The 27,255-nt window shown below is 39.5% G+C and overlaps 1 protein-coding gene and 1 pseudogene across 23 annotated transcripts in view, besides 4 other annotated features; one reads left to right on the top strand and one right to left on the bottom strand.

Moving 5' to 3' along the window:
- The window catches only part of ELF2 (E74 like ETS transcription factor 2), a 120,696-nt gene that overhangs the window by 72,450 nt on the left and 20,991 nt on the right, over positions 1-27,255 (top strand). For 4 of the 23 annotated variants that reach the window (NM_001276459.3, NM_001276458.3, NM_001276457.2 and 1 more), the window contains exon 1: positions 21,242-21,333. The exons of 18 other annotated variants lie outside the window; for them this stretch is intronic. In NM_001276459.3, the coding sequence (NP_001263388.1) occupies positions 21,276-21,333 (58 nt within the window). In that variant the 5' untranslated portion in view covers positions 21,242-21,275. Of the gene's footprint in view, positions 1-21,241; positions 22,785-27,255 lie in introns of those variants that run through there. One more of the 23 variants, XM_047449742.1, reaches the window with a different exon arrangement.
- On the bottom strand, positions 4,808-5,089 carry RN7SL382P (RNA, 7SL, cytoplasmic 382, pseudogene; annotated as a pseudogene).
- Positions 5,737-6,031: a silencer, noted in NCBI's record as "tiled region #15356; HepG2 Repressive DNase unmatched - State 12:CtcfO, and K562 Repressive DNase unmatched - State 12:CtcfO". NCBI's record gives its function as "represses a minimal TATA promoter and a strong SV40 promoter by Sharpr-MPRA in HepG2 and K562 cells {active_cell/tissue: HepG2 | K562}" and the evidence as "EXISTENCE:reporter gene assay evidence [ECO:0000049][PMID:27701403]".
- Positions 5,798-5,857: a silencer, noted in NCBI's record as "silent region_15695". NCBI's record gives its function as "represses an Ori minimal core promoter by ATAC-STARR-seq in GM12878 lymphoblastoid cells {active_cell/tissue: GM12878}" and the evidence as "EXISTENCE:reporter gene assay evidence [ECO:0000049][PMID:35858748]".
- Positions 20,904-21,033: a silencer, noted in NCBI's record as "silent region_15694". NCBI's record gives its function as "represses an Ori minimal core promoter by ATAC-STARR-seq in GM12878 lymphoblastoid cells {active_cell/tissue: GM12878}" and the evidence as "EXISTENCE:reporter gene assay evidence [ECO:0000049][PMID:35858748]".
- Positions 21,264-21,653: an enhancer, noted in NCBI's record as "active region_21918". NCBI's record gives its function as "activates an Ori minimal core promoter by ATAC-STARR-seq in GM12878 lymphoblastoid cells {active_cell/tissue: GM12878}" and the evidence as "EXISTENCE:reporter gene assay evidence [ECO:0000049][PMID:35858748]".

Below are 27,255 nucleotides of genomic sequence, written 5' to 3'. Positions count from 1 at the left end.
GAGTAAAAGGATGGTAAAGTCCTTTCAGGTGTATGAAATAGTGTAACACATCATTACTATTCATCATTAAGCATTCATTGAGCACCTAGTAAATGCAAGGCATTATTTTAAGGCACGGGGCTACAATGTAGACAAGAAAGGCAAAGTCTCTACATTTATGGTACTTAGAATCTAGTGGACAAAACATGTAAGTTTGCACTACAGTAAAATTACTTTGTCACAAATCAAATTATATAACTTGAAATTGTTCTTTAAAGTAAATATATGGAATTAAGCTAAAATAATAAACTCATGAATTATTCTTTTCAAGCAGTTAAAGCAGTGGATAGTTTTTTTCCTCTCCCTTTCCATATGACAGTTATTAGGTACAATTGAGATAGTTAATTGGTAATCTTAACATTTATCATGTACACATTACCTATATTACTGCCATGGCTCCTAGAAAGTGAACAATTCGTTGTTGAATAACACATGCTTTCTAGCCTCAAAGAAGCTTACTAAGTTGCGAAAAATGAGCATTCAGGCAAATAATAGTATTATAGAGTAGATAGGGTTGGGGAAAGGTGAGGGAAAGAATTGCCAAGTATGGTAGTGAATTCAAATGTTCCAGATTACATTATTGCTATTGTGGTAGGTCCCATTTAAATGTCATCATGAGAGTTGACAGTGAAGGCCTCTGGTTAGAGGCAGAGGAACAAGTCAAATGGAATTAAGTATTCCTAAATCTCATTATTTTTAATTTTTTATGTGTGTAACAATACCATAAAAAATCAGAAAGATTTTCCTGTCCTCATTGATGGAAAAATCAGGGAACAATGCTAAGAACTCAGCCTGTTTGCAGTAATTGGTTATGATTTGGGAGTGGAATTAGGAGGTGAAGTAGGACTAACTATGACTTTTTAAATTTTTTACATTCCTATATTTTTTCTTTTCTTTTCTTTTTTTTTTTTTTTTTTTGAGACAGAGTCTCACTGTGTCTTCCAGGCTGGGGTGCAGTGGCACGATCTCAGCTCACGGCAACCTCGCCTTTCGGGCTCAAGTTATTCTCCTGCCTCAGCCTCCTGAGTAGCTGGGACTACAGGTGGGCACCACCACGCCTGGCTAATTTTTGTGTTTTTAATAGAGACAGGGTTTCACCATGTTGACCAGGGTGGTCTCGAACTCCTGACCTCAAGTGATCTGCCCACCTCGGCCTCCCAAAATGCTGGGATTACAGGCATGAGCCACCGTGCCCAGCCAACATTCCTGTATATTTTTTTCATTGAGTATATCAAGAGACAAATGTAGCTTTATAGCCTTTATTTTCATTAGAATAACAGTTTTTTGTTGTTGTTTGTTTTTGTTTTTAAATGAAAGAAGTCCTATGCTGTTTTCTCCTGGTTTAAAGTCAGTGTTTGGTCATAATTGGGTGTTTGATTTCTTTTCACTTTGTAAATATGCCAAAATATATACACTACTTGAAGGGAATGAGCAATTACTTTTTTTATTTAACTAAAATACTTTTCATATGTTTTATATTAAACTGGGTGGTGATAATATGCAATTATTTTTCAGGACTTAAGAATATCTTTAAACAATTATTTGTTAGTGAGTAGAAAAGCAAACTCTTTGTCTCACTATGCTCTCAACAGTTAACACAGAAGACCTCTGGGACATCTGATTACCATGAAGTGTGTGGGATTTCTCCCGACCAATAAACTAGTCAGTCAGTTCTGTAGTGGACACCAGCTGGGTGTCCTCTAATTCAATTCAGTTCTGACACTGTCTACTTGGAGATAGCATCAGATCCTCTGAGAAACACATTTACCAGTTTATCATAAAGGATATTTAAAGGATACAGATGAAGAAATGCATAGGGCGTGAAGTATTGGGGAAGGGTCATGGAGGTCCCATGCCCTTGCTGGGCATGCCACACTCCAGGAACCTCCACATGTTCAGCTATCAGGAAAGTCTCTGAACTCATTCGTTTTGGGTTTTTATGGAAGCTTGATTAAGTAGGCATGATTGATTAAGTCATTGGCTATTGGTGGTTGACTTAACCTTCAGCCCTGTTTCCCGAGGCCCAGAGGTTGGGAGTGGGGCTGAAAGTCCCAACCCTATAATCCTGCCTTGGTCTTTCTGGTGACTAGCCCCCATCCTGAAGATACCTAGGGGCTGCCAGCCATTACTCAATCTTTAGCACACAAAAGAACACTTACTACTTTGGAGATTCCAAGGATTTTAGGACTTGTATGCCAGGAAATGGGGAGCAAGACTAAATATATATATTTCACACATATTTCACAATATCACAGCTAGAACTTGGGAGATTTTCTTATCAGTAGATGAACTTGCAAAAGATCATGAGAAAGTTTTACATCAAAAAGAAAAGGTTAGCCTGGGCAATATGGCAAAACCCCATCTGTACAAAAAATACAAAAATTAGTCGGGCATAGTGGCAGGTGCCTGAAGTCCCAGCCACTTGGAGGCTGAGGTGGGCAGATTGCTTGCACTTGGTAGGTCAAGGCTGCAGTGAGCTGTGATCCTGACACTGCATTCTGACAGAGCGAGACCCTGTCTCAGGGGGGAAAAAAAAAAACATTTATGTCTCCGATCTAGTTAGCAAAAAGATACTTCTTTTTTTTGGAGATGGAGTCTTGCTCTGTCGCCCAGGCTGGAGTGCAGTGGCATGATCTCAGCTCACTGCAACCTCCGCCTCCTGGGTTCAAGCAATTCTGCTGCCTCAGCCTCCCGAGTAGCTGGGATTACAGGTGCCCGCCACCACGCCTGGCTAATTTTTTTATTTTTAGTAGAGATGGGGTTTCACCATCTCGGCCAGGCTGGTCTAAAACTCCTGACCTCAGATGATCCGCTTGCCTCAGCCTCCCAAAGTGCTGGGAATTCTGGCGTGAGCCAGCATGCCCGGCCGATACTTCCTTTTTTTTTTGAGACGGAGTCTCCCTCTGTCTCCCAGGCTGGAGTGCAGTGGTGCTATCTCCGCTCACTGCAACCTCCGCCTCCTGGGTTCAAACAATTCTCCTGCCTCAGCCTCCCGAGTAGCTGGGACTACAGGCGCCCGCCACCACCCACCACGCCCGGCTAATTTTTTGTATTTTTTTTTTTTTTTTCGTAGAGACCGGGTTTCACTGTGTTAGCCAGGATGGTCTCGATGTCTTGACCTCGTGATCCACCCACCTCGGCCTCCCAAAGTGCTGGGATGACAGGCGTGAGCCACTGCGCCCGGCCCTGATACTTCTTATATATGGTGTTTGACAAGTCTTTCAGGAAAATCTGAATTTTTTTCCCCATATGACCTTTTTTCTGATGTGTAATAGTTGGAAAATAAAGGCAGGATTTAGAATAATTACTGAGAATGAAAAACTTCTTTTGAAGAGGAAACCAAGAACTTGGTTCAAGAGGAGAAAGAAATTAAAAGGTGGTAATTTCTTTTTGAGACATTTACTTTCTTGAATAAACTTGACATCCCCCCCTTTTTTTTTTTTATCTTTTTCTTTAGGGACATTGGTCTATAGTTAGTATCTAGGTTTACAACATTAAGCTTTTTTCATTTTGTTTGGAAAAACAAGGCTGGCAGAATTACATTTGTTTTTAATTCCATTGCTAATATTACATACTTAGGAGGCTATCAGGTGCAAGTTATTTACTTGAGACAAGAAGCACTGATTATTTTGGCTAGGCTTCATCTGAAGGCCTATGTTCTGGGAAGGGAGGCCTCCATAAAAAAGGAAGAACCTTTAGTGACCTTTATCCTTGGGAATAAAAGTAAAGATCAGAAGCCAGTGCATTCAGTTTACCGTCTTACAAAAGGAGTCAAGTATTGTATAGGTCAGAGACCACTATTGTAAGATCATATAAATCCTGTGTCTAATTTTGTTATCCTCTGTTTCTCCATAATAATTAGTACCAAGCACTTTACAAAAAGAATCCCCATATATTTGTTTTTGGAGGCCACAAGAAATGGGAAGGGCTAATGAGAGACTGCAGTTAATTCTGCAGCTAGTCTTAGGGAAAACAGAACTCCAAAAAATAGAAGAGCTGAAAGGAGAAGAAAGCAGACTGAATTCTTGTGCTTATCAAAGGAAGAACAAAAGAATAAGGAGTTGTCCTGGATCTGAGACCATTAGTGGGGTTACCTGAGATGACCTGTGATGTGTGTGGCACTGTGTTTTTTTTATGTGAACTAGAGCAAGAAATTAGATATGGCCCCTCCTGTAAAGAAACTCACTCATTTGTGGGGAAAATATATAAGGAAACAACTCTTCATAACCTAAGGTTTAATAATATTAGTGTTATAATAGTGAAGGAGACAGATCTTAGCTATTCTGATGGGAAGTTTACATTTTAGTTGAGTTTGGGAGGATAAATAAAATTTCATTGGGAAGAAAAGAATTTTCTAGTTGAGAAGTCATTTATTTATACCTTTTCCTACCTTCTCCCAGTCCATTACCAAATCATGTTAATTTTGCCTCCAAAGTATATCTCGAGTCTTCCTATCTTCATTGCTACTAGGCTAGTTCACTCTGTAGTTTTTTTACATGAGCTATGTTGATGGCCTTTGGCCTTCTAATCAGCCTGTTTTCATTATTGCCTCCTCCTCCTACCCCCAGCAATCTATGCTCACCATAGTAGCCAAAGTGATTTAAAATATAAATTTGTAAGTGGAATAGTGATACTCCCTCCCTAAAATCTTTCAGTGGATTCTAATTGCACTTAAGATAAAATTCAGAGTATTTTTAAATTGTTTTCACTTAATTTTTATTTTTTTTCTGTATTTCAATGGATGCAGTTAAAAAAATGTTTTTTTTAAAGAGTTATGGTCTTGTTATGATGCCCAAGCTGGAGTACAGTGGTTATGCACAGGTGCAGTCCCACTACTCATCAGGACAGGAGTTTTGACTTGCTCTGTTTCCAGGCTGGTCTGGTTCACCTCTCCTTAGGCAACCTTGTGGTCCCTCACGTTTATGCCGAACTTAGTGCAGATACCCAATTGACTTAGTGCACTATAGCCCAGCATTTCTGGACTCAGGCGATCCTTCTGCCTCAGCCTCCCAAGTAGTTGGGATCACGGGCATGTGCTGCTGCGCCTGGCAGGAGTTTTTAATATGGTCTTTAAGACACTGAATAATTTGGCTTCTCACATTCATCTAGAAACAATAACAATAATAGCAACCCCCCAAAAAGGAAAAAAAAAGACAGCTCTAACATTTAAAGTTTCTTTACTATGTTGCCAGGAATTGTTTTTAGGGTTTTACATATTAACATTACATATTTCACACTCTCAACCCTAGGCCGAATAACTTTTCCAAGGCTAGATAGCTATTTAAGTGGTGGAAGCAAGGATTTAACCCAGAGCCCAAGCTCAAGCATTGTACTCTGATGCATTATATAATATCCCTTCCCCTCACAATACAAATTATTGTAATCACAGTGCTCCTTTCATCCTTCCATTAATCCAAACTCTTGACCTCCACAGGGTGTTCACGCATGCCATTTTCTGTCTGGAGTAGATTATTTTCTAGTTTTCAATTTCTAACTCCTGGTTGTCCTTTAGATTATAGTTTAAATGTCACTTTCTCACAGAGAAAGAGGCCTTGGCTGATATTCTTAAATCTCAATTAGGACTGTTCTGTTATTTTTTATCATAGCCCTCCATTATTTAATGTGTTTTGTTTTTAGCACCTACAACTTGTCATGCATTCAGTTCCCACCATTAGGTAGTAAATACCTTCCAAGAAGTTCAAATCACATAAAATCTGGCATTAATGTGAGGTTAATGAAATGGCCTGGGTCAGTCTGGGTATAGGAGGAAGAGGTGTGTGTATGAAATGGGTTCCAGAATTCAGACTAAGGTATCCAAAATCAGTCTAAGGTCCAGCTGTGGTTTGGTGCCACCTGGTGGTAGTTGTGTACTTCTGTGACTGCTTTTTGAGGATAGGATGGAAGACGGGAGCCAATTATCAGTTGACTTACCTGAATTCATGTATTTAGGAAGTTTTACTTGACTATATTTATATTTGTGCTCGTTTGCTTAATGTTTCCACACTGTGCTCCATAAAGTCAGAGACTGTATCCATTGTGCTTACTGGAATTGCTCAGGGCCAGGAACCCAGTAGGTTTTCAATAAAATATTTGTTTATTAATGAGAACACATCATGAACCAGAAAGGATTGCCAAGAACTTTGTATTTTATTTAGACACTGCCCGTCAATGTAGTTTACTGCTCGTTAGTGTAGTTTAACTAGAGTTTAGGCTATATAGACAGGTATGGTTGAGAGATAAGGCTAGACAGGTAAAGGTACAGTGGGACCAGATTGTGATGGCCCTTGAATAAAATAGTGAGGAACTGTATGAAACATTATTTGGAAAAGATGAGAAGTGAAAAGAGGGACATTTATTTTAAACATCCAGAACATAGAAGACGTAGCTTTCAAAATACTAACTTTGGGATAGGTTAGGGAATAAACTAAACTTGACCAATTTAACAAAAGGCAACAAAGGAGAATAAAATGATGGAATAGAAATAATAAATCAAGATAGTAGAAGTAAGTACAAAATATATCAGAAATTATATTAAAGTTATCTATTGTGATCACAAGACAAGAACCTGTGTTATTTATAATAGATGCATAAAGCAAAATTAAATGAATGGAAACAGCTAATATATAACAGATAAACCAAAATTAAGTTTTAAAAATATCGGCCGGGCACGGTGGCTCATGCCTGTAATCCCAGCACTTTGGGAGGCCGAGGCGGGTGGATCACGAGGTCAGGAGTTCAAGAGCAGCCTGGCCAAGATGGTGAAACCCCATCTCTACCAAAAATACAAAAAATTAGCCGGGCGCGGTGGCAGGCGCCTGTAGTCCCAGCTACTCAGGAGGCTGAGGAAGGAGAATCATTTGAACCTGGAGGGTGGAGGTTGCAGTGAGCCGAGATCGTGCCACTGCACTCCAGCCTGGGTGACAGAGTGAAGCTCTGTCTCAAAAAAAAAAAAAAAAAGTTTTAAAAATAGAGAAATCTGTTTACCAGAAAAGTACTAATCAAAGGGAGCTGGTATAATAAAATAGAATTTAGGGTGAACATTTTTCATTGGGACAGAGAGATACTCTTTATACTGCTAAAAGGAACAATCTAGAAAACAAAATCATCATAAACTTACATGCATCTAGCAACACAGCCTTGAAATACCACTTAAAACAAAAATTTTTAGGAAAACTAGACATATCTACAAAATAGTGGGACATCTTTGTCAAAGTGTAAAAAAGCATATATGAAATTAAAAATAGTATCAAAGAATTCAACTACAAAGGGCTTAACAAACTTCGTAAATTGGAGATATATAGGACATTGTACCTAACCTAATAGAAACTTAAACATTTTTTAGTTATGTATGTCAGTTTTTAACCATGTTCCATAGAGGAATGTTAACAATGTCTAGAAAATCAGTGTCATACAAAATACGTTATTTCAGCCAGGCATGGCAGCTCATGCCGGTAATCCTAGTGCTTTGGGAGGCTGAGGCAGGAGGATCACTTGAAGCCAGGCAAGACCATATAGTGAGACTCTGTCTCTGCAAAAAATAAATTAGCTGGGCATGGTGGCACTCACCTATAGGCCACATTGTACTCCAGCCTGGGTGACAGCTAGACCTTCTCTCTAAAAAGAAAATCAAACAAAATATTTTGTCATGATGTAAGAATATTAGAAAACAATGAAAAAGACAATCAAAATAATAATATTGGAAACTAAAAATTAGTGGATCAAAAAAGAAATGAAAATGTTAAAATACTTATAGCTAAATAACATTGAAAGCATTGCATATTTTTTTTTCTTTACTTTTTTTTTTTTTTTTGAGACAGAGTCTTGCTCCGTCACCCAGGCTGGAGTGCAGTGGCATGATCTTGGCTCATTGAAACCTCTGCCTTCTGGGTTCAAGTGATTCTCCTGCCTCAGCCTCCCGAGTAGCTGGGATTACGGGCATATGCTACCATACCCGGCTAATTTTTGTATTTTTAGTAGAGACGGGGTTTCACCCATATTTGCCAGGCTGGTCTTAAACTCCTGACCTCAAGTGATCTGCCCGCCTTGGCCTCCCAAAGTGCCACCGCGTCTGGCCGAAAATATTGCACATTAAAACTTGGAATGTAGCTGGGTGTGGGTGCACACCTGTAATCCCACTTGGGAGGCTGAGATGGGAGAACCACCTGAGCCCGGGAGTTCAAGGCTGCAGTGAGCCATGATTGTGCCACTGTACTCTCCAGCCTCTGCGACAGAGGCTACAAACAAACAAAAAAACCAAAAACTTGGAATTTCGCTTAAGCAGAACTCACTATGAAATATAATAGCTTTGAATGTATTTACTGGAAAATAAGAAAGATTGATATAATGAGCATATACCTAAATCTACATGTTAATATAGGACCAACAGAATAAATCCAAGTAAAGTAGAGGTAAGTTAAAAATAAAGATGAAAGTCAATAAATAGAAAATAAAACAGTACTAGATTATTAATAAAACCAGAAACTAATAAAATGGAAGAACCTCTGTAAAGACAGATTAAAGAAAAATGAGCACTCTGAAGAACAAAAATATGGCCAACGGAATAAAAAGTTTAAAAACCATGAAAGAATACTATGAAAAACCTGTTGCCAAGGAATTTAAAAACCTGTGAAAGGATAATGTTAAAATTTTATAGTTTAGGCCAAGCACTGTTGCTTACACCTGTAATCCTAGCACTTTGGGAGGCTGAGGTGGGCAGATTGCTTGAGTCCAGGAGTTCGAGACCAGCCTGCAACATGGTGAGACCTCCTGGCTACAAAGAATTAAAAAAAAAAAAAAAAAAAGCTTGGTATGGTGGTGTACACCTGTAGTCTCAGCCACCCAGGAAGCTGAGGCAGGAGAATCGCTTGAACCTGGGAGGTGGAGGTTGCAGTGAGTCGAGATCACACCACTACACTAGAGCCTAGGCAGAGTGAGAGCCTGTCTCAAAAAACAAAACTAATTTATAAGTGACTCAAGAAGAAATAGAAAGCCCAGACAAATTAATAACCATTCAATTTCTTTAATCTTACATATGCATCTTCCTTATATACACATTTAAATAAAGTCCATTATAACGTGGAAGTATTAAAAAAAAAGTCCATCAGACCCAGATTTATTACTAAAATTTCAGAGGATACATAATGCTTGTCATATATAAACTATCACAAAAGAATAGTAAAAGAGGGAAAGCTTTCCAACTCATTTTATGAAGTTAGTATAACCTTAACCTTGAAACTTATCCAATATAATAACAGAATTTTTTTTTTGGGTCAAACTCATATATGCGCATAGCTACAAATGTTCTTTTTTTGTATGTATGACAGAGTCTTGTTCTGTTGCCCAGGCTGGAGTGCAGTGGCGTGATCTCGGCTCACTGCAACCTCCACCTCCCGGGTTTAAGCGATTCTCCTGCCTCAGCCTCCCGAGTAGCTGGGATTACGGGCATATGCCACCACACCTGGCTAATTTTTGTATTTTTAGTAGAGACGGGGTTTCACTGTTTCTACAGGCGTGTGCCACCGTGCCCAGCTAATTTTTGTACTTCAGTAGAGATGGGGTTTCACCATGTTGGCCAGGCTGATCTTGAACTCCTGACCTCAAGTGATCCACCCGCCTTGGCCTCCCAAAGTGCTGGGATTACAGGCATGAGCCACTGTGCCTGGCCAATCATAGCTACAAATATTCTAAATAAAGAATAGCAAATGAAATCCATCATTGATTTAAAAATACATAATGACTAAATTCATAATAGGAAGGCAAAGATGGCTATATATTAAAAAGTTAATTATTGTAGTAGCCATGTGACTAGATTAAAGGAGAATACTCATGTAATCATCTGTATAGATTTAAAAAAAATTTGTTAAAATTTAAAATCTGCTGAGGATAAAATACTCTTAATCTGGATTGGAACCTGATAAAGAGTATATATTAAAAATCTATAGCAGGCTGGCACAGTGGCTCATGCCTGTAATCCCAGCACTTTGGGAGGCTGAGGTGGGCAGATCAGTTGAGGTCAGGAGTTTGATACCAGCCTGGCCAACATGGCGAAACTCTGTCTCTATTGAAAATACAAAAATTAGCTGGGCGTGATGTTGCATACCTGTAATCCCAGCTACTTGGGAGGCTGAGGTGCGAGAATTGCTTGAATCTGGGAGGTGGAGGTTGCAGTGAGCTGAGATTGTGCCACTGCACTCTAGCCTGGGCAACAGAATGAGACTCTGTCTCAAAAAAAAAAAAAAAAATCTATAGCAAATATCATGCTTAATGGAGAAAGAAGATGCCAGCTATCAACTTTACTAACTAGAATTATTATTGGAGGTCCTAGCCAATGCAATGAGACGGGGAAAAAAAGGCATAAAGATCAGAAGAGAAGAAACAAAATTGTTATTATTTACAGATGACTTAATTAACACATAAAATTTAAGAGATGATCCAGATAAACTGTTAACATTGTTAAGAAGTTTCATCAGGTTTGCCGTATGCAAGAGCAATAATCAATAAGAAAATGAAACAAAAAAGATCCCATTGATAATAGTAAAAAAACAAAAACAAAACAAAACACCCTTTACTAGGGACCTAAAAATAACTCTAAGATATATAAAGATAAATAAATAAATCTAAAATTAGATGCCTATTTCATATCTCCTCATTTTACTCATTTTTTAAAATGACATTACTTTAATCTTTTTTACACAAGTCTTATCTTTCTCCCTCAGAAATAAGCATCACATTTAAATTGATTAATGTATATTTTCTTAGTTTGTTGAGGTTGTATGTCCTGTTGTATATAATTAAAATTTATATAAATGGTGTTATGTATCTTACTCTGTTTCCTACTTTTTTAAAGTAAGCACTGTTCCTAATATCCTTGCATGTTGCTTTGTATATATCTTATTTGTTGCTCAAACTGCTGCAGAGTACCCCTTTTAAACATCCACCACGTTACCTTTCTACTTACTCAGTAATAAATAACCTTCAGTTCCTACTTTTATCCTCGTGCTGCAAACCACTCCAAAATTTATTGACTTGAAACAAGAACCAGTTATTGTTTCCCTCAGACTTACGGGCTGGTTATGTGGCTCTGCTGTGATGGCTTTGGTCCTGTATCTATGGTCATCTGTGGATCAGCTGGGAACTAACTGGTCTAGGAGGGCCTTAGCTAGGACAACTCAGCCCTCCTTTTGTCTTTCCAGTTATCTTATTTCTTTTTCGTTTCTTAAGATGTTAGTTGCCGGGCGTGGTGGCTCACGCCTGTAATCCCAGCACTTTGGGAGGCCGAGGTGGTGGATCACCTGAGGTTGGGAGGTTGAGACCAGCCTGACCAACATGGAGAAACCCCGTCTCTACTAAAAATACAAAAAATTAGCCAGGCATGGTGGCACATGCCCGTAATCCCAGCTACTCAGGAGGCTGAGGCAGAAGAATCGCTCGAACCCGAGAGGCGGAGGTTGCAGTGAGCGGAGATCACGCCATTGCACTCCAGCCTGGGCAATGAGTTAAACTCCGTCTCAAAAAAAAAAAAAAAAAAAAAGATGTTAGTCAAGAACTCCAGTATTATGTGAAAGTGATATTTTAAAAAGAGTAGTAATATTAATGGCCATCCCTGTTTTGTTCCTAATCTTGAAGGGAATGTATCTGAAGTTTCAACTTGAAATTGTTATAGGCTTTAGTATATAATGTATACCACGTTAAGCAATTGTCTTCTATTCCTTTTGTGTTAATTATGAGTCCTATCAAGTGCTTTTTTGGCATTTGATAAGTCATTTTTCTCTTTTACTCTATTAATATGGTCAGTTGATGGATTTTCAGATGTTGAAGTCTTGTCGTTTGAGGATAAATGTTACTCATCATTTTGCTTCGCGTTGCTTTAAGTTAAGGAGTCTTGGAATCTATTCATAAGTGAAGTGGAACCATAATTTTACTTTCCTGTCTTTATCTGCTTTTGGAATCGAGATTACACTAGACTCATAAAATAATCCAGGTAGCTTTCACTGATTTTTCTCTTCTATCTTCTGCAAACAGCTTGCATAAGTTAAGAATTAATTTTGAAATTTGCTAGAATTTGCATAAAAAATATTCAAGCCTGGGTTTTTGTTGGTTTGTTTGTTTGTTTTTTGTGGAGGGAAGGTTTTGTATTATGTTTTAATTTCTTCAGTATTTACTGGCCGGGCGCGGTGGCTCACGCCTGTAATCCCAGCACTTTGGGAGGCCGAGGTGGGCGGATCACGAGGTCAGGAGATCGAAACCATCCTGGCTAACACGGTGAAACCCCGTCTCTACTAAAAATACAAAAAATTAGCCGGGCGTGGTGGCAGGCGCCTGTAGTCCCAGCTACTCAGAAGGCTGAGCCAGGAGGATGGCGTGAACCCGGGAGGCGGAGCTTGCAGTGAGCCGAGATTGCGCCACTGCACTCCAACCTGGGCGACAGAGCGAGACTCTTTCTCAAAAAAAAAAAAAAAAAATTATTTACTATTCTATTCAATTTTGTATGTGTATGCGTATGCCTACTGGGAATTTTATATACTTCTAGTAGTTTATATGTTTCATTCAGATGTCAGCTTTAGTAGCATATAATTGTTCATAATACTATTTTTTAATTATTATTATTTTTATTTATTTATTTATTTTTGAGACGGAGTCTCTCTGTCGCCCAGGCTGTAGTGCAGTGGCGTGATCTGGGCTCACTGCAAGCTCCGCCTCCCAGGTTCACGCCATTCTTCTGCCTCAGCCTCCCGAGTAGCTGGGACTACAGGCGGCCACCGCCATGTCTGGCTAAGTTTTTGTATTTTTTAGTAGAGACGTGGTTTCACCCTGTTAGCCAGGATGGTCTCGATCCAGGATGGGGTTTCATCACGTTGCCCAGGCTGGTCTCAAGCTCCTGACCTCAGCTGATCCACCCGCCTCCGCCTCTCAAAGTGGTGGGATTAGAGGTGTGAGCCACCGCGCCCGGCCCTATGTTATGTTATGTTATGTTATGTTATGTTATGTTATGTTATGTTATGTTATGTTATGTATGTTATGTTATGTTATGTTATGTTATGTTATGTTATGTTACGTTATGATTTCTGAGATGGAGTGTCACTCTGTTGCCCAGGCTGGAGTACAGTGGCATGATCTCGGCTTACTTCAACCTCTGCCTCCCGGGTTCAAAAGATTCTCCTGCCTCTGCCTCCCAAATAGCTGGGATTAAGTCGCCTGCCACCACGCCCAGCTAATTTTTGTATTTTTAGTAGAGACGAGGTTTCACCATGTTTGCCAGGCTGGTCTTGAACTCCTGACCTCGGGTGATCCAACCGCCTCGCCCTCCCAAAGTGCTGGGATTACAGGGGTGAGCCACCACACCCGGCCTATTTTATTATTTTTAAATATCAATTGTATCTGTGGTTATTTCCCCCTTTTTGTTCCATGTTTATATATATATATGTATATATATAGTGTATATATGTATATATGTAGTGTATATATGTATATATATGTGTGTATATATATGTGTATATATATGTGTGTATATATATTCTCTATATATAAATAATATGTATATTCTATTTTCTTGACAACCTTTGCCAAAGTGTGTTTATTTTATTAATCTTTTCAATGTCATCTTCTGGTTTTGTGAATCTTCTGTATTTTTGAAAAGTATTATTTTCTGGCTAGGTACAGTGGCTCATGCCTGTAGTCCCAACACTGTGGGAGGCCAAGATGGGAGGATCGGTTGTATCCAGCAATTCGAGACCATCCTGGGCAAGTAATCCTCCCACCTCTACAAAAAAATAAAAAATAGCCGGGTGCAATGGTACACACCTGGAGTCCCAGCTACTTGGGAGGCTGAAGTGAGAGGTTCACTTGAGCCCAGGAGGTTGAGGCTGCACTGAGTTGTGATAGCAGCGCTGCACTCAGCCTGGGCAACAGAGTGAGACCCTGTCTCAAAAAAAATTACTATTTTCTATTTCATTTTTCTTGCTTTTTATTATTTATTCCTTCTAGTTTCTTTAGGTTTGCTATGTTGCTTTTTCCATCTGTGAATCAAATGCTGAGCTTGTTTATTTTTAAACCTTTTATTTCTTTACTAAGTACTGTTTTAATTAAATCACACAGTTTGACATGTTGCATTTTTTATTGTAATTCGTTTCTAGATATTTCTTAGTTTCTTTATGATTTCCTTTTTATTCCAAGGGTTCTTTAACATATACTATAAGAAGGTCGGGTGAGGTGGCTCACGCCTTTAATCCCAATATTTTGGGAGGCCGAGCCAGGCGGATCACGAGGTCAGATCGAGACCATCCTGGCTAACATGGTGAAAACCTGTCTCTACTAGAAGTACAAAAAATTAGCCGGGCATGGTGGCGGGCATCTGTAGTCCCAGCTACTTGGGAGGCTGAGGCAGGAGAATGGCGTGAACCCGGAAGGTGGAGCTTGCAGTGAGCCCAGATTGCGCCACTGCACTCCAGCCTGGGCGACAGAGTGAGACTCCATCTCAAAACAAAACAAAACAAAACAAAACAAAACAAAACAAACCATATACTATAAGGGAAAACATTAATTTGACTACATCAAAACTGGATGTTTTTCCCAGCACTTTGGGAGGCAGGCGGATCACTTGAGGCTGGGAGTTTGAGACCAGCCTGGCCAACGTGGCAAAATCCCAGCTCCACTAAAAATACAAAAATTAACTGGGTATGGTGGCATGTGCTTGTAATCCCAGCTACTCGGGTGGCAGAGGCACGAGAATCGTTTGAGCCTGGGAGGCGGAGGTTGCATTGAGCCAAGATGATACCACTATACTCCCGCATGGATGACAGAGCCAGACCCTGTCTCAAGAATAAAAAAGGCAAACAGCAGGCTGGCAGAAGATACTTGCAAGATAAATCTGAATTGTTATTTAGAATATATTAACATTCTATAGATCAATAAGACAAAAAATGCCTTTATAGAAAAATGGCCAAGGACATGAATAGTCTATTCACAGGGGAAATGTTAATGGCCAGTAAGTATTTGAAAAAATATTTATCCTTAATACTTAAATACATGCATATTAATACAACAATGAAAAATTTTTTGTTACTCAACACATGGCAGAAATTTAAAAAGTCAGCTTATATCTTGAATTGACAAGCATGTGAGAAAAATCGTAACTCTGCCAAACCACTGGACTTGCATAGCCACTTTGGACAGAATTACATCAAATTAAAATTGTACTGATAAGCTGGGTGTGGTGGTGTGTGCCTATAGTCTTAGCTACTCAGGAGACAAATGGGAGGATATCTTGAGACCAGGAGTTCAAGACTACCTTGGGCAAGATGGCTGGACCCTTGTCTCTAAAATTATTTTAAAAAATTAGCCAGGCATGGAATATGACTGTAGTCCTAGCTAACTTAAGAGGCTGAGGTGGAGGGTCTCTTGAGCCCAGAAGTTCAAGGCTGCAGTGAATTATGGTCATGCCACTATTCTCTAGCCTCAGTGACAGAGTGAGACCCATACCAAAAAGCAAAAGACAAAATACTTTATGACCTAGAAACTGTTTGTTGGTATATGATGTGGAAAGACTCTAGCATACATGTTTAAGAAAATGTAATTTTTTTTGCAGAAATATTTCTAAAAGTGAGAAATGGAAACTATTTGCTAATGTGATGAATAACTTTATTAGATAATGTGATGAATAACTTAGATAATGTGATGAATAAAATGGGGTAAATGCATACACTGGAATACTTTGTAGCATTTAAAAAGAATAGCTATATTTACGTATACTGACATGGATAGAATGTAAATCTTGAATGATTAAAAAATACATTTTAGAATGGCATATATAGTTTAATGACATTTATGTACCTAGAGCATGTAAAATAATACTGTATGTCATTCAGGGATACATACACAAACACATACGTATGTAAATATATACACATGTGAAAGTATAAAAAGTAGAATGGAAGAATATACACCAAACTCATGATAGCAGTTTCTCTGGGGGTTGTATTCAAAAATGCTATCTTCATCTGTTATATGTTATTTCTTGGGGGAAAACAATTTTACAGCATAAATGAGTAGTTGCAGGTTCTGGTTGAGAAGGGGATATGACTATGTTACATTATTTTTAGCAATTCCTGTGTGGTTTAAATCCCCCTAAAAATGTGTGAGATGGGTTCTTAAACTAGGAACATAGATGACTAAGATTTCTAACCTGGTAAGATGATGGTTATTGATAAATAAATGAAATCTGTAGATAAAGGATCTTTAGGTATCAGTTGGTTATTCAAGTAGAGATGTTTATTATACAATTGGAAATTAGGACCTATATATTTTTTAAAAAGTAAATCAAGACTTGATATGCTGATTTTTGAATCAGTATAGAAATAGTATTGAAAGTCCTTGGCCAGGCACGGCGGCTCACGCCTGTAATCCCAGCACTTTGGGAGGCCGAGGTGGGCAGATCACCTGAGGTCAGGAGTTGGAGACCAGCTGAATAACATGGAGAAACCCTGTCTCTACTAAATCTACAAGATTAGCTGGGTGTGGTGGTGCATTCCTGTAATCCCAGCTACTCTGGAGGCTGAGGTAGGAGACTCGCTTGAACCTGGGAGGCGCAGGTTGCGGTGAGCCAAGATCACGCCATTGCACTCCAGCCTGGGCAACAAGAGTGAAACTCTGTCTCAGAAAAAAGAAAAAAGAAAAAAAAAAAGTCCTAGGTGGGGGACTTTTATCCCCCTAGTGGGGGGATAATACCATTCTGGAGAGAGTGGAGAATGGAGAGAGAAGGTGAGGCTAAGGATCATACTTTAGGCAAACAGTCACATTTAACGGTTGTGTAGAAGTGGGTGAAGACAACTGAAAAGAAATAGGAAGAAACAAAAGTCAGACAGTTTACTATCATGAAAATCAAACGAAGGGAAGGATTTCAATAAAGGGGTAGTCAACAATATTTGGAGAAGTAGTAAGATGGAGACTGAGAAGAGGTCACTGGATTTGGCAATTAAAAACTCAGTATTGACATTTGAAGAATTTTTCAGTGGGTAGAGTTCAGAAAGTATTGTAAGAAAGGAAGAAATTGGTTAATCTAAATATTCCTTTTGGAATTAAATGAGATTTGACTAGTATATTTTCAGTTAAAATTTTTATTGTAATTTTTTTTTTTTTTTTTTTTTTAGACAGAGTCTTGTTCTGCTCCCAGGCTGGAGTGCAGTGGCGTGATCTCAGCTCACTGCAACCTTCCTCTCCTGGGTTGAAATGATTCTCCTGCCTCAGTCTCCCAAGTAGCTGGGACTACAGGCATGCGCCACCACACCCAGCTAATTTTTGTATTTTTAGTAGAGACGGGCTGTCACCACCTTGGCCAGGCTGGTCTCAAATTCCCAACCTCAGGTGATCCACCCACCTAGGCTCCCCAAAGTGCTGGGATTACAGGCGTGAGCCACTGTGACCAGCCTAAAATTTTTCATAAACACGCTAAACAAGAATTATATATGGGTCCTTGTAAAGTTTCACAAGAATTGCAAATTTTTTTTCCCAGTGTATTCAAGATACTACATATTCTTTGATGATAATAAACAACTCAAACCCTTGAAATGAGTTGTCATAAATGTCGTTTAAACTATAGAGATCATTAACTATTCTAACTCATGTACATTTGGGTGCTTAATAGATGCTATTTTAAAAAGTTGTTTGTGGCCTGGCGTGGTGACTCACGCCTGTAATTCCAGCATTTTGGGAGGCCGGGGAGGGCGGATCACGAGGTCAGGATATCGAGACCATCCTGGCTAACACGGTCAAACCCCATCTCTACTAAAAATACAAAAAATTAGCCGGGCGTGGAGGCGGGCGCCTGTAGTCCCAGCTACTCGGGAGGCTGAGGCAGGAGAATGGCATGAACCCGGGAGGCGGAGCTTGCAGTGAGCCGAGATCGCGCCACTGTACTCCAGCCTGGGCAACAGAGCGAGACTCTGTCTCAAAACAAAAACAAAAACAAAAACAAAAAAACGTGTTTGTCTAACACCCATTAGAAGAGACTAGCTGCAGGGCTGGGCACAGCAGATCATGCCTGTAATCCCAACACTTTGGGATGCCAAGGACGGAGGATTGCTTGAGGCAAGGAGTTGATGACCAGCCTTGATAACATAGCGAGACCCTGTTTCTATAAATGAATGAATTACTGAATTAATTAATGACTAGCTGCAATACTTAGCTGACAGTCTTCTAAGAGTAGCTGCTAATAATTGGACAGAATGGTTTGTCTAGTATAAATCATAAAGTGAAGAATCAACAAGTCTCAAGGAGAGCCTGGCCCAGGGATAAGTTAAAATGCAAAAAACATGAACCTAAGTCAGATCACACCTAAGCTAAGTATGTATCAAAAACAGTAAATACTGGACCCTTGTCAGAAGATTTTCATGGTTCATGCCTCAAAATGAATGCTATTGTACATATGACAGAAGGACTTACAATAAAATTACTTTTAGGAGTTATGATCCTCCTAACTCCTAAAAGGAATCTAAAATTAGCCATAGTCCTTTTCCTCTGAAAAAATAAACATTTCATTAACAAAAATTTGCCTCTTTGAACCCCTATTAAAAATTTATGCCTTATGAAGGCTTTTATAATTATAAATAATTTAACATCCTTGGGTGGTAATTATACCCACTGTATATACACCCTATTATTTAATTTCATATATAAGCAGTCTTGTGTATCATATTGTCTCTAAGACTTTCACCCTTGGTGGGTGGGGAGTTCTATATGAATTGAGAAGGGTTAATTTCTTCCTTTTGTTATATAATTTAGTGCTACCAGCTTAATAAGCACCTATAACAGAAACTTGCTTAAAGTAAGTACTGGATAATAATTTGTTGAATAAGTGAATTAGTTTATGACGGTTCGAAGATCTTCATTTTAATAATATTTTATAAAACCTGACTATTAAATAAATCAGTAACATAAAAAGCTCAAATAGACATTTAAGCAGTAGTATAAAATATATGAAATAATTCATCTTTTTTCTTTGTACATCTGTAGACTGCACTTCTGTAACTATTGTCTATTTTCTGATGTTGACAGACCAAGCTTTACTTGGTGCTCCTAAACTATATGATTCCAGCTTGTTGTGCTTCACAGACATATTTTTCTTACGGTTTTCTTGACCCTGTTTTTTCCCTAAACATGCTCAAGGTACCAACTTTGAATTTCATTGTTTAGTTGTATGAGAAAAACTTGACAGCTTGGCCTCTTCCTATTCTCTCATTCACTTCTCAAAACTTTTTTCTTCCATTTTTCTCTTTTAACTTCCCATTGCTTTACCTTTGACATTAAAAAAAATCAACCATTTTGCAGTTTATCATACTATAAATATAATAGTAGTAAAATGGATTTAACTTTTTTTATAACTTCTAAATTTTATAGAAGACTGTTTTGTAAGAGTTTTGACCTTGAAGTAACAAGACACTTTGTAACCTTTGTTAAGTAACTTCTTGGGGCCTCAGTTTCCCAATGTGTAAAGTGAAGGAGTGGACTAACTGTGGTTCTCTAATAACTAGCTGGAGTGCAGTGGTGCGATCACAGCTCACTGCAACCCGAAACTCCTGGGCTCAAGAAAATGGCCTGCCTTAGACTTGAGTCGCTAGGTGCACAGGCCCACCACAATGCCCAGCTAAGGATGATGCTTACTTTAAATTGATTGGCAATAAAATATAAAAGCTACCATGTCCCATACATGGCAGGTTTACCTAATTCAAGAAAGAGATCCTTATTTAAAGAGGAGTTGTACTTTGGAAATAGCATGTAGGTTCTTTTTTTGGGAGAGTGAGGATCATGGTGATAGGGGTAGGGTAAAAGGACCAAGAGAATAAATGAATATTAGGAGAAATGAGAAAAAATAGTCATGGGCTATGTAAATCCATTCTGATGCTGCACTCATGTTGGGCAAGCTTTTATAAGATGATATCGCATTAATATTACCACTGAAAACATTTTTTTCTCTACACAGTTCAGTCAATTCGGATCATAAAAATTGTCACCTTGTTATTTTAAATTTGTAATGCCAGATCTTTTTGTTTATTCAGCAAATACTTATTGAGCACTTACTCTGTAGGAGGCACTGTTCCTTTATGTAAGTTTTGTGTGCAGACAACTTTAGCATAACCCTTTGTTTCAAACAATTTATGTATTATTAAATTCTGAAACCAGGGAAGCATTTTAATGAAGCGTTATTCGTCATTATATTGGTTTGATTTCCTGTGTTCAGTAAATTTATAGTCATTAAATTGGCGATTTATCTCCCTTGTCCATTGTATTTTAATATGTATTTGTAATTAGGTTAGTTTTCAGCAAGAATTACTTTTTTTTGAAGTAAATGACAATATAAATTTGTTTCCAAGTGAGCCAAACAGAAATGAAAGGGTACATGAATTTCATGATTAGCATATTGGGGGAGTCTCATCTCCAGAGGTTGGTGTGTTCTGTTTACTAAATACCCGTTTAATGTGCTCTTTGACACTTCTGTTAAGGGAAAAGGACGAAGTTGGTCTCAGAAAGTAGTTGGAAACTCCTTATTTTCCAAGTAATGCTTTCAGAATATGTTCTAGGTATGACTTTGTTGGTGTTCCTGTCTTAAAAGTGCAGATGTTTCAAGTGAACTGGTTACATGTTGCATAAGGTTTGAAAAAGCCAAAAGAAGTTAAATAGCCACCTTTATTTACAGCTGCAGGACTAGGTATTAGATTGCTTCCAGGAAGAAAATATGATTAATGGCTCTTTTCCAGAGGGGGGACAATTGCAGACTTTTCTTCCGCAGAGCGTGAAATGTGCCTCTTCCTGCCGAGGGGCTGTGTCCTCGCGCGGCTCCCGGAGCCGTTTCCCAGCCTCAGGTGTCTCTCGCCGCAGGCTGCGGCCGCTCTCTGGAGCAAGCGTCCGGGACTTCCTGTTTGGGCGCGGGGCGGAAGGATCGCGTTGCCAGCTGCGGCGGCCGCCACAGCCACAGCCGCCGCCGCCGCCGCCGCCGCCCCTGCCCCTGCCGCCCCTGCCCCTGCCGTTAGGTGGTGGGGTTTCTCAGCCCGGCGGCGGGAGGCGGGCCGGCCTCGGCTTCCTGTCGGAGGACGCGCAAGGATCCGGGCGTCGGAGTGTGTGCGAGTGCGTGAGTGTGTGTCGGTCGCACGGCGTGTGTCTCCGGCCGCGGGTTCCGCCTCCTCCCCTGCCGCCGCTGCTCACGGTGTAAGTCAATGTGAAGCAGCAGCTCCAGCCCCGGGATAAACATGGCGACGTCTCTGCATGAGGGACCCACGAACCAGCTGGATCTGCTCATCCGGGCCGGTAAGGACAGGGGAACTTTTCTCCCGTGCATCGGTGCAGCAGGAGAGGGGGTGCACAGAAGGCGGGGTGACTCCCCTGTAGCAGTCTGTGCTGGGGGTACAGTGTCCACCTCACAGTCACTGGGGCGGCTGGGGGAAAGGGGGGAGTGAATGAAGTAATGGAGGCGACGAATCAGGAAGTGATCACCTTGGAGAGTAACCTGCCTCGAATCCGGCGCTGTCGCTTCAGGGTGGGTTCGGCGAGCAGCAGCAGCAGCTGCCGGGCTGAGCGCTGGCAGCGGGTGCTGGAGAACGGAGCCGCGGTTAAGTTGGGCACTCGGGGGCGGACGAGTTGTGCGCTTCACCCCAGTTGCTGAGGAACCAGGAAGTGAGTGAGGCTGTTGTCTCTCGGCTGCGCCTGCCACGCTGTCTGGCCGGAGAGGCCGCTGCTGCCCGCGTTCGGGGGCGGCGGGCTTCTCCGGCGAACGCTCGCCACCCCCGCTCGGTTCTCCCTTCAGACTTCGTCCACAATTCCATGACTTCCGCATGGACCAGGCAGCCAGGGGCGATGTCCGGTGGACCGATACCCGCCAAAAAAAAATGCTCTGACCCTCCCTCCTCCGCACATTCCCACCTTATGCAGTCTCAGGAGTAACGGTCCTGGACAGGGTCACTTAATAATGTTGAGTAACCGGGATGATGTTTCAGGGGCCCGCCTCCCTTTGCTCATTTAACGGGTGGCTGCGAAGAAACTAGGTTTATGCCCCTTCCCTCGTGGGTTGTTTTTTTAGGGGGAGAATGGGAAGAACACGGAATATATTTGTACCCCTGACCTGGAGGGTTGCGGCGTCAGAGAAGAACATTTATTTTTGTAAACAGTGGGTGAATGTTAAGGAGCGAGGCGGGAGGGAGGGAGTCTTGGCCCTAGGGAAGTCTCAGCACGGAATTGCCCCCTTCCCCTCTACCCCCCCCCAAACCTCCCACCACAGCGGAAGCGCCTCGGAAAGGACAGAACGGACGGGATTGACAGGCCTCTGGTTCCAATCTGCTCTCTGAGGTGTTCCAAATTAGAACGTTGATTTCTGGGGGCGGGACTACGGGCCCGCGCTGGGCCAATGAAGATTGGGCGGGAGTGAAGCTGACAATGTACGCATGGAATTGGAGGGAAGAGGAGTGTAAACACGGAAGTGGCCGCAGGGGTGGGGGATGTGCGGCGCCACTGCTGCAGCGGAAGGGCACGGACTTAAGTTACATAGAAAAAGCAGCTTTGCTTAATAGCAGACAGCGCAGTGAGGGCCCTGGATCGATGTAGCACTGCTTGAATACTGTTTACTTACTGTAATAGTAAGCATACATGTTCCTCTTCCCGGTTCCTATTTCATATTGCCATGGATGGGAAGTGGACGATGAGAAATACTCAGGGAACAGTAATTCTGTAAAAGATCTTAACAGTCTTCCATCCATTGTTTTTAGGTAAGGGACTTGAAATTAGTAGTTTGCTTGGCAAAACTCTGTGACTCAGTTCGATGGGGGAAATCATGAACACATGTATCAAAATTTAACGGAAGCGCTCTAGGTTCAAAGTCTGAAATAATATGTATGTATTGAGTACAACACAGTGGTGACCAGTCTTTTATTCTATAAAATGTAAAAATATGTGTTTCAGAGGTTCCAAAGGAAAATGCAGTTTACTGAGTAGTGATTAAAACACATCTGTTTGACAGTTGCTTTCTGGTCAGAACAAGAACTTAAGTTTAGTAAGAGAGCACAATGAGAACTTGATTCCTTTGTATATATTGTCCATTACTACAATATGAATTAAGGGATGGAATTTTTGGCTTTATATTATTGGTACTAACGATACGTGAAGTTGTTGGGTCAATGATATTTCTGTGAATATTGAATATGTACAGTTCAAGAGATGTTGTTTCCAGTGGCTGCGAACACACGGAAAGAACCTTAGAATGCCTTTGCATCAAAACTTTGAAAAATACTGTAAAGGTAGGAGGGCTTCACTTTGCCATTGGAAACTATTTTTTCGTAAGCTTTTGGAATTACCGGTGAAACTGAATATGGCCTGTAGGTATTCTCCTTGGAGTATATATGTGTGTATATAAAAGACTGTCTTTGGTTTGAAAAGACAAAAGTTTTGTCTTTTGATAAGGGGTTTTAAAAAGTGCTGTTTTCCAGCTCTACTGCATTTCTGTACTATATACGAATCTTAAAGTTTATGATAATAATGTTCTGTAAAGAATATGTTTTACATACAGTTATTTTCAAGTTATGTCACCAATTATGTTCATGTAATCTGAAGCTCCCTTACAAGCCTTATTTTAGAAGGAAACTTGAGAGAGGTTTGCTCTTTTACCCAAGGTTTATTCAGTGTGTTAAAAGTTAGGGAGGAAAGATGGCCCAGAAGATTAGGAATCATGATTCTAAATTTTTATTGCTGCCAATTTTCAATAGCATTGGTAGGATAATGTTTCTAAAGTTTGTATTTGTGTAATGGACAGAATACCTTTTTATCTCCTTGAGGGAGGTCATCAGGTGTGACAGAGAATTCTTCCTCACAAAGATTTTACAGTCTGGGGAGACAGGTGAAAATCTATATAATGTATAAATGTAAAAAATAGTTCCAGTGATTGCTATAATGGGTTGATGATTAGTGTAGAATGATATTTATACAACTTCTAGAGGAGATAAGCTTTAGGTTAATATTTTCAGCATAACATGTTTCTAAGCAAGTATATAACACTTAATATTATCACTGTCGCTACATGTTAAGGTACATGTTAAGCTCGAATATACTTTTGCTTTTCTTCCTTTTGAGGTGTTAAGTATCACATGTGCATTCCTTTAGCTATAAACATTTATGCTGCCAGAGGAGTTTGAGTAAAGGATGAAATAAATAAGCTTATTTATTAAAACTCACTGTCATTTTACAAAGTATGTTTGTAGTAAAGACTCGACGTACTTTAAAATTTCATGGACAATATGATGTATGAGAACGAGCCTTGACCCTGAAGAGTTGAGGATCTATATCTAGCTGTCACTAAACTAGCTAGTGACTTAACATCTTTAGGGCTTCATTTTTCTCTAAGAAGACAGGGTTGACTAGATGATTGCTAATGACTTTTAAAGCTCTAAAATAAGTGGCTTGGAAATACTTAATGGAAAGGTAGGGCTTCTCCTTGGGTTTTTTTTTTTTTTTCTAATATTACACCATGTGAATGAATATGTCTATAAGTTCGTTATGTAATTGGTAGGTTAACTTCTTTTATCCAGTCTTTGAAAATAAAAATGTGTGCCAAATTGGAACTTGAGGCTCTTTATATGTTTAAGTCTGTAATATAGTCTAATTAATAATTTAGGCTCATTTCTAGTGTATATAGCTTAATATAGGAAAAACAAATGTCTAGCATTGTTACTTTCCTAATATTTATGTTAAAGTATTGTGTATGAACAGTCTGGATTTTCTGGAAGATTTCTGCCTTATTCTCAAGTATACCTTTCTTGACTTTTTCCTTTATTTGTCTTTTCTTATTTTATTTTATTTTTACATTTGCGAAATAAGGTAATCAGAAGTTTTGGTCAACAATGCAGTTATTAAATGAAGGTGAAATTTTTCTGGAAATTTAGCCTAAATATTTTCACTGACAGAAAACAAATCTATTTTATTAAAGTTCATTATGAAATTGAAAATCTCATTTCTGATTTACTATAAATTGGAATATGTAGTCTCAATCTTGAAAAGATCAAATTGAAAAAAAATTAGCAGTATGAAAAGAAGTTAAAAGCAGTATGTGAATAGATACATTAAAATGAAACTCAAGGAATGACACTAGTTTTCTTTTTAAAAAGCTCATTTGAAAATGAATTTAAGAAATTACCCTTCACAATTCATTGCAGCATTGGTACTAAAATTCATGTAAAAACTGAGTTACATGGTCACATCAGTCAGTGTGTAAATAGCCAATCAGAATCATTCAACATAAAACTATTTTAGAAACAAATTTGGTTGGTGGAGAAGGGCAGGCAGCAGAATGTTCTTGATAACTATTTAAAATAATTCCTCATGTTTGATAATTGTTTAAAATGATTCCTTGTGTCATCTATAGCAAAATGTTCAAAAGGATGCAAAGAAATGCTTAAGAAGAGCTTTTTAAAAACCATTTATCTGTGAGTAGACAAATACTGTTTTACTTACAGAATCATAATTTTTATTTTTTTTACATTTATTTTATTTTTTGAGATGGAGTCTCCCTCTGTCGCCCAGCCTGGAGTGCAGTGGCACAATCTTGGCTCACTTCTGCCTCCCAGGTTCAAGTGATTCTCCCACTTCAGCCTCCCAAGTAGCTGGGATTACAGGCGTGAGCCACCACTCCTGGCTAATTTTTGTATTTTTAGTAGAAATGGGGTTTTACCATGTTGGCCAGGCTGGTCTTGAAATCCTGACCTCAGGTGATCCACCTGCCTTGGCCTCCCAAAGTGCTGAGATTATAGGTGTGAGCCACAGCTCCTAGGCTAGAATCATAATTTGTCATCTACACCCTGATGTTTATGTTTAGAAGCTAAAACTTATATAAGCATGGGGATAGAATTTGGTTGTTATTAATTACAGTTGATGAATTACAGCTGCGCTTCTCAAAAACCAAACTCTCTGACCCGGATTCTGGGAGTCCCAAGAGCCTTTCACAGGATCTGTAAAGACAAAACTGTTTTGAAAATAATACTGGGACATTATTTGCCTTGTCACTTTCAAAAGTGTACAGAGGAGTTAGGAGCTATGTATAGATGGGTTATTCCAATAGATTGAAAGAGGAAGGAGAATTCAGCTGCCTTCTATTGAATCAAGTATAATAAGATTTGCAAAAATGTAAAAAACAAAGCTACTTACTTTTTGTTTTTTATTTTAAGTTATTTTTGGCCAGGCATGGTGATTTATGCCTGTAATCCCAGCACTTTGGGAGGCCAAGGCAGGAGGATCTCTTGAGTCTGGGAGTTTGAGACCAGCCTGGACAACATAGTGAGACCCTCGTCTCTAAAAAAAAAAATCAAAAAATTAGCTGGGTGTGCTGATGCGTGCCTGTGGTCTCATCTACTTGAGACGCTGAGGTAGGAGGATCACACCCCAGGAGATCTAAGCTACAGTGAACCATGATCATGCCACTGCATTCCAACCTGAGCAACAAAGCGAGACCTTGTCTCAAAAAACAGTTATTTTTCATAAAAAATGTTATTTATGGTTGCAGTAATGGGTGTATTATTTTAAATGAATTAATAATTTTGAAGTTTTCTTTGTAATTTCAAATATGATAAATACAGATAAAATCTCGAGGTCTTCAGTATTTTGAGTGTAAAAGTGTCCTCAGATAAAAAAGGTCGGAGGATAGCTGAATTACAGTGTTGTTTAGGTCTGTACTGTATGGTAGCCACTAGCCGCATGTATCTGAGTACTTAAAATGTAGCTAAGAAACTCAATTTTTAATTTTAATTAATTTAAACTTAATTTCTGGCTGATCTCATCTTGCAGAGGGCAGTTCGCTCTCCCCCTCCGAGAGTGTAAAAAAAAAAAAAAAAGAATTGCCATTCTTTTTCCTTTTTATACTTTATAATGCAAGTATATTGATTAAAAGGTCAAGGGGGAAAAGGTGAAGATGGAGTATTCCAGACCTTTAATTACCTTTTCCCCCTTTTTATTGCCTTCATTTGTATTCTTCATTTACCTATTACTGGTATAGCTTTGGGGCATTAGAGGATAAGTAGTGGTAAATCGGGTGCTGCAGTTGACTGAAGACCTTGTACTATTAGTTTATAGTGTTGCTTATAGGAGAATACCACTATCACCTAATGAAGTGTTTTCTAATTTTTTTTCACTGCTCTCAAACTAAATTGCTACTAAATTTTATTTTTGACTTGAGAACATTTTTATGAACTAGATCCA

This window comes from Homo sapiens, chromosome 4 (genome assembly GCF_000001405.40).
Source record: "Homo sapiens chromosome 4, GRCh38.p14 Primary Assembly".
Taxonomy (NCBI): Eukaryota; Metazoa; Chordata; class Mammalia; order Primates; family Hominidae; genus Homo; species Homo sapiens.
Note: the sequence above shows the minus strand (reverse complement) of the source record. Positions and strands in the feature narration are given on the sequence as shown.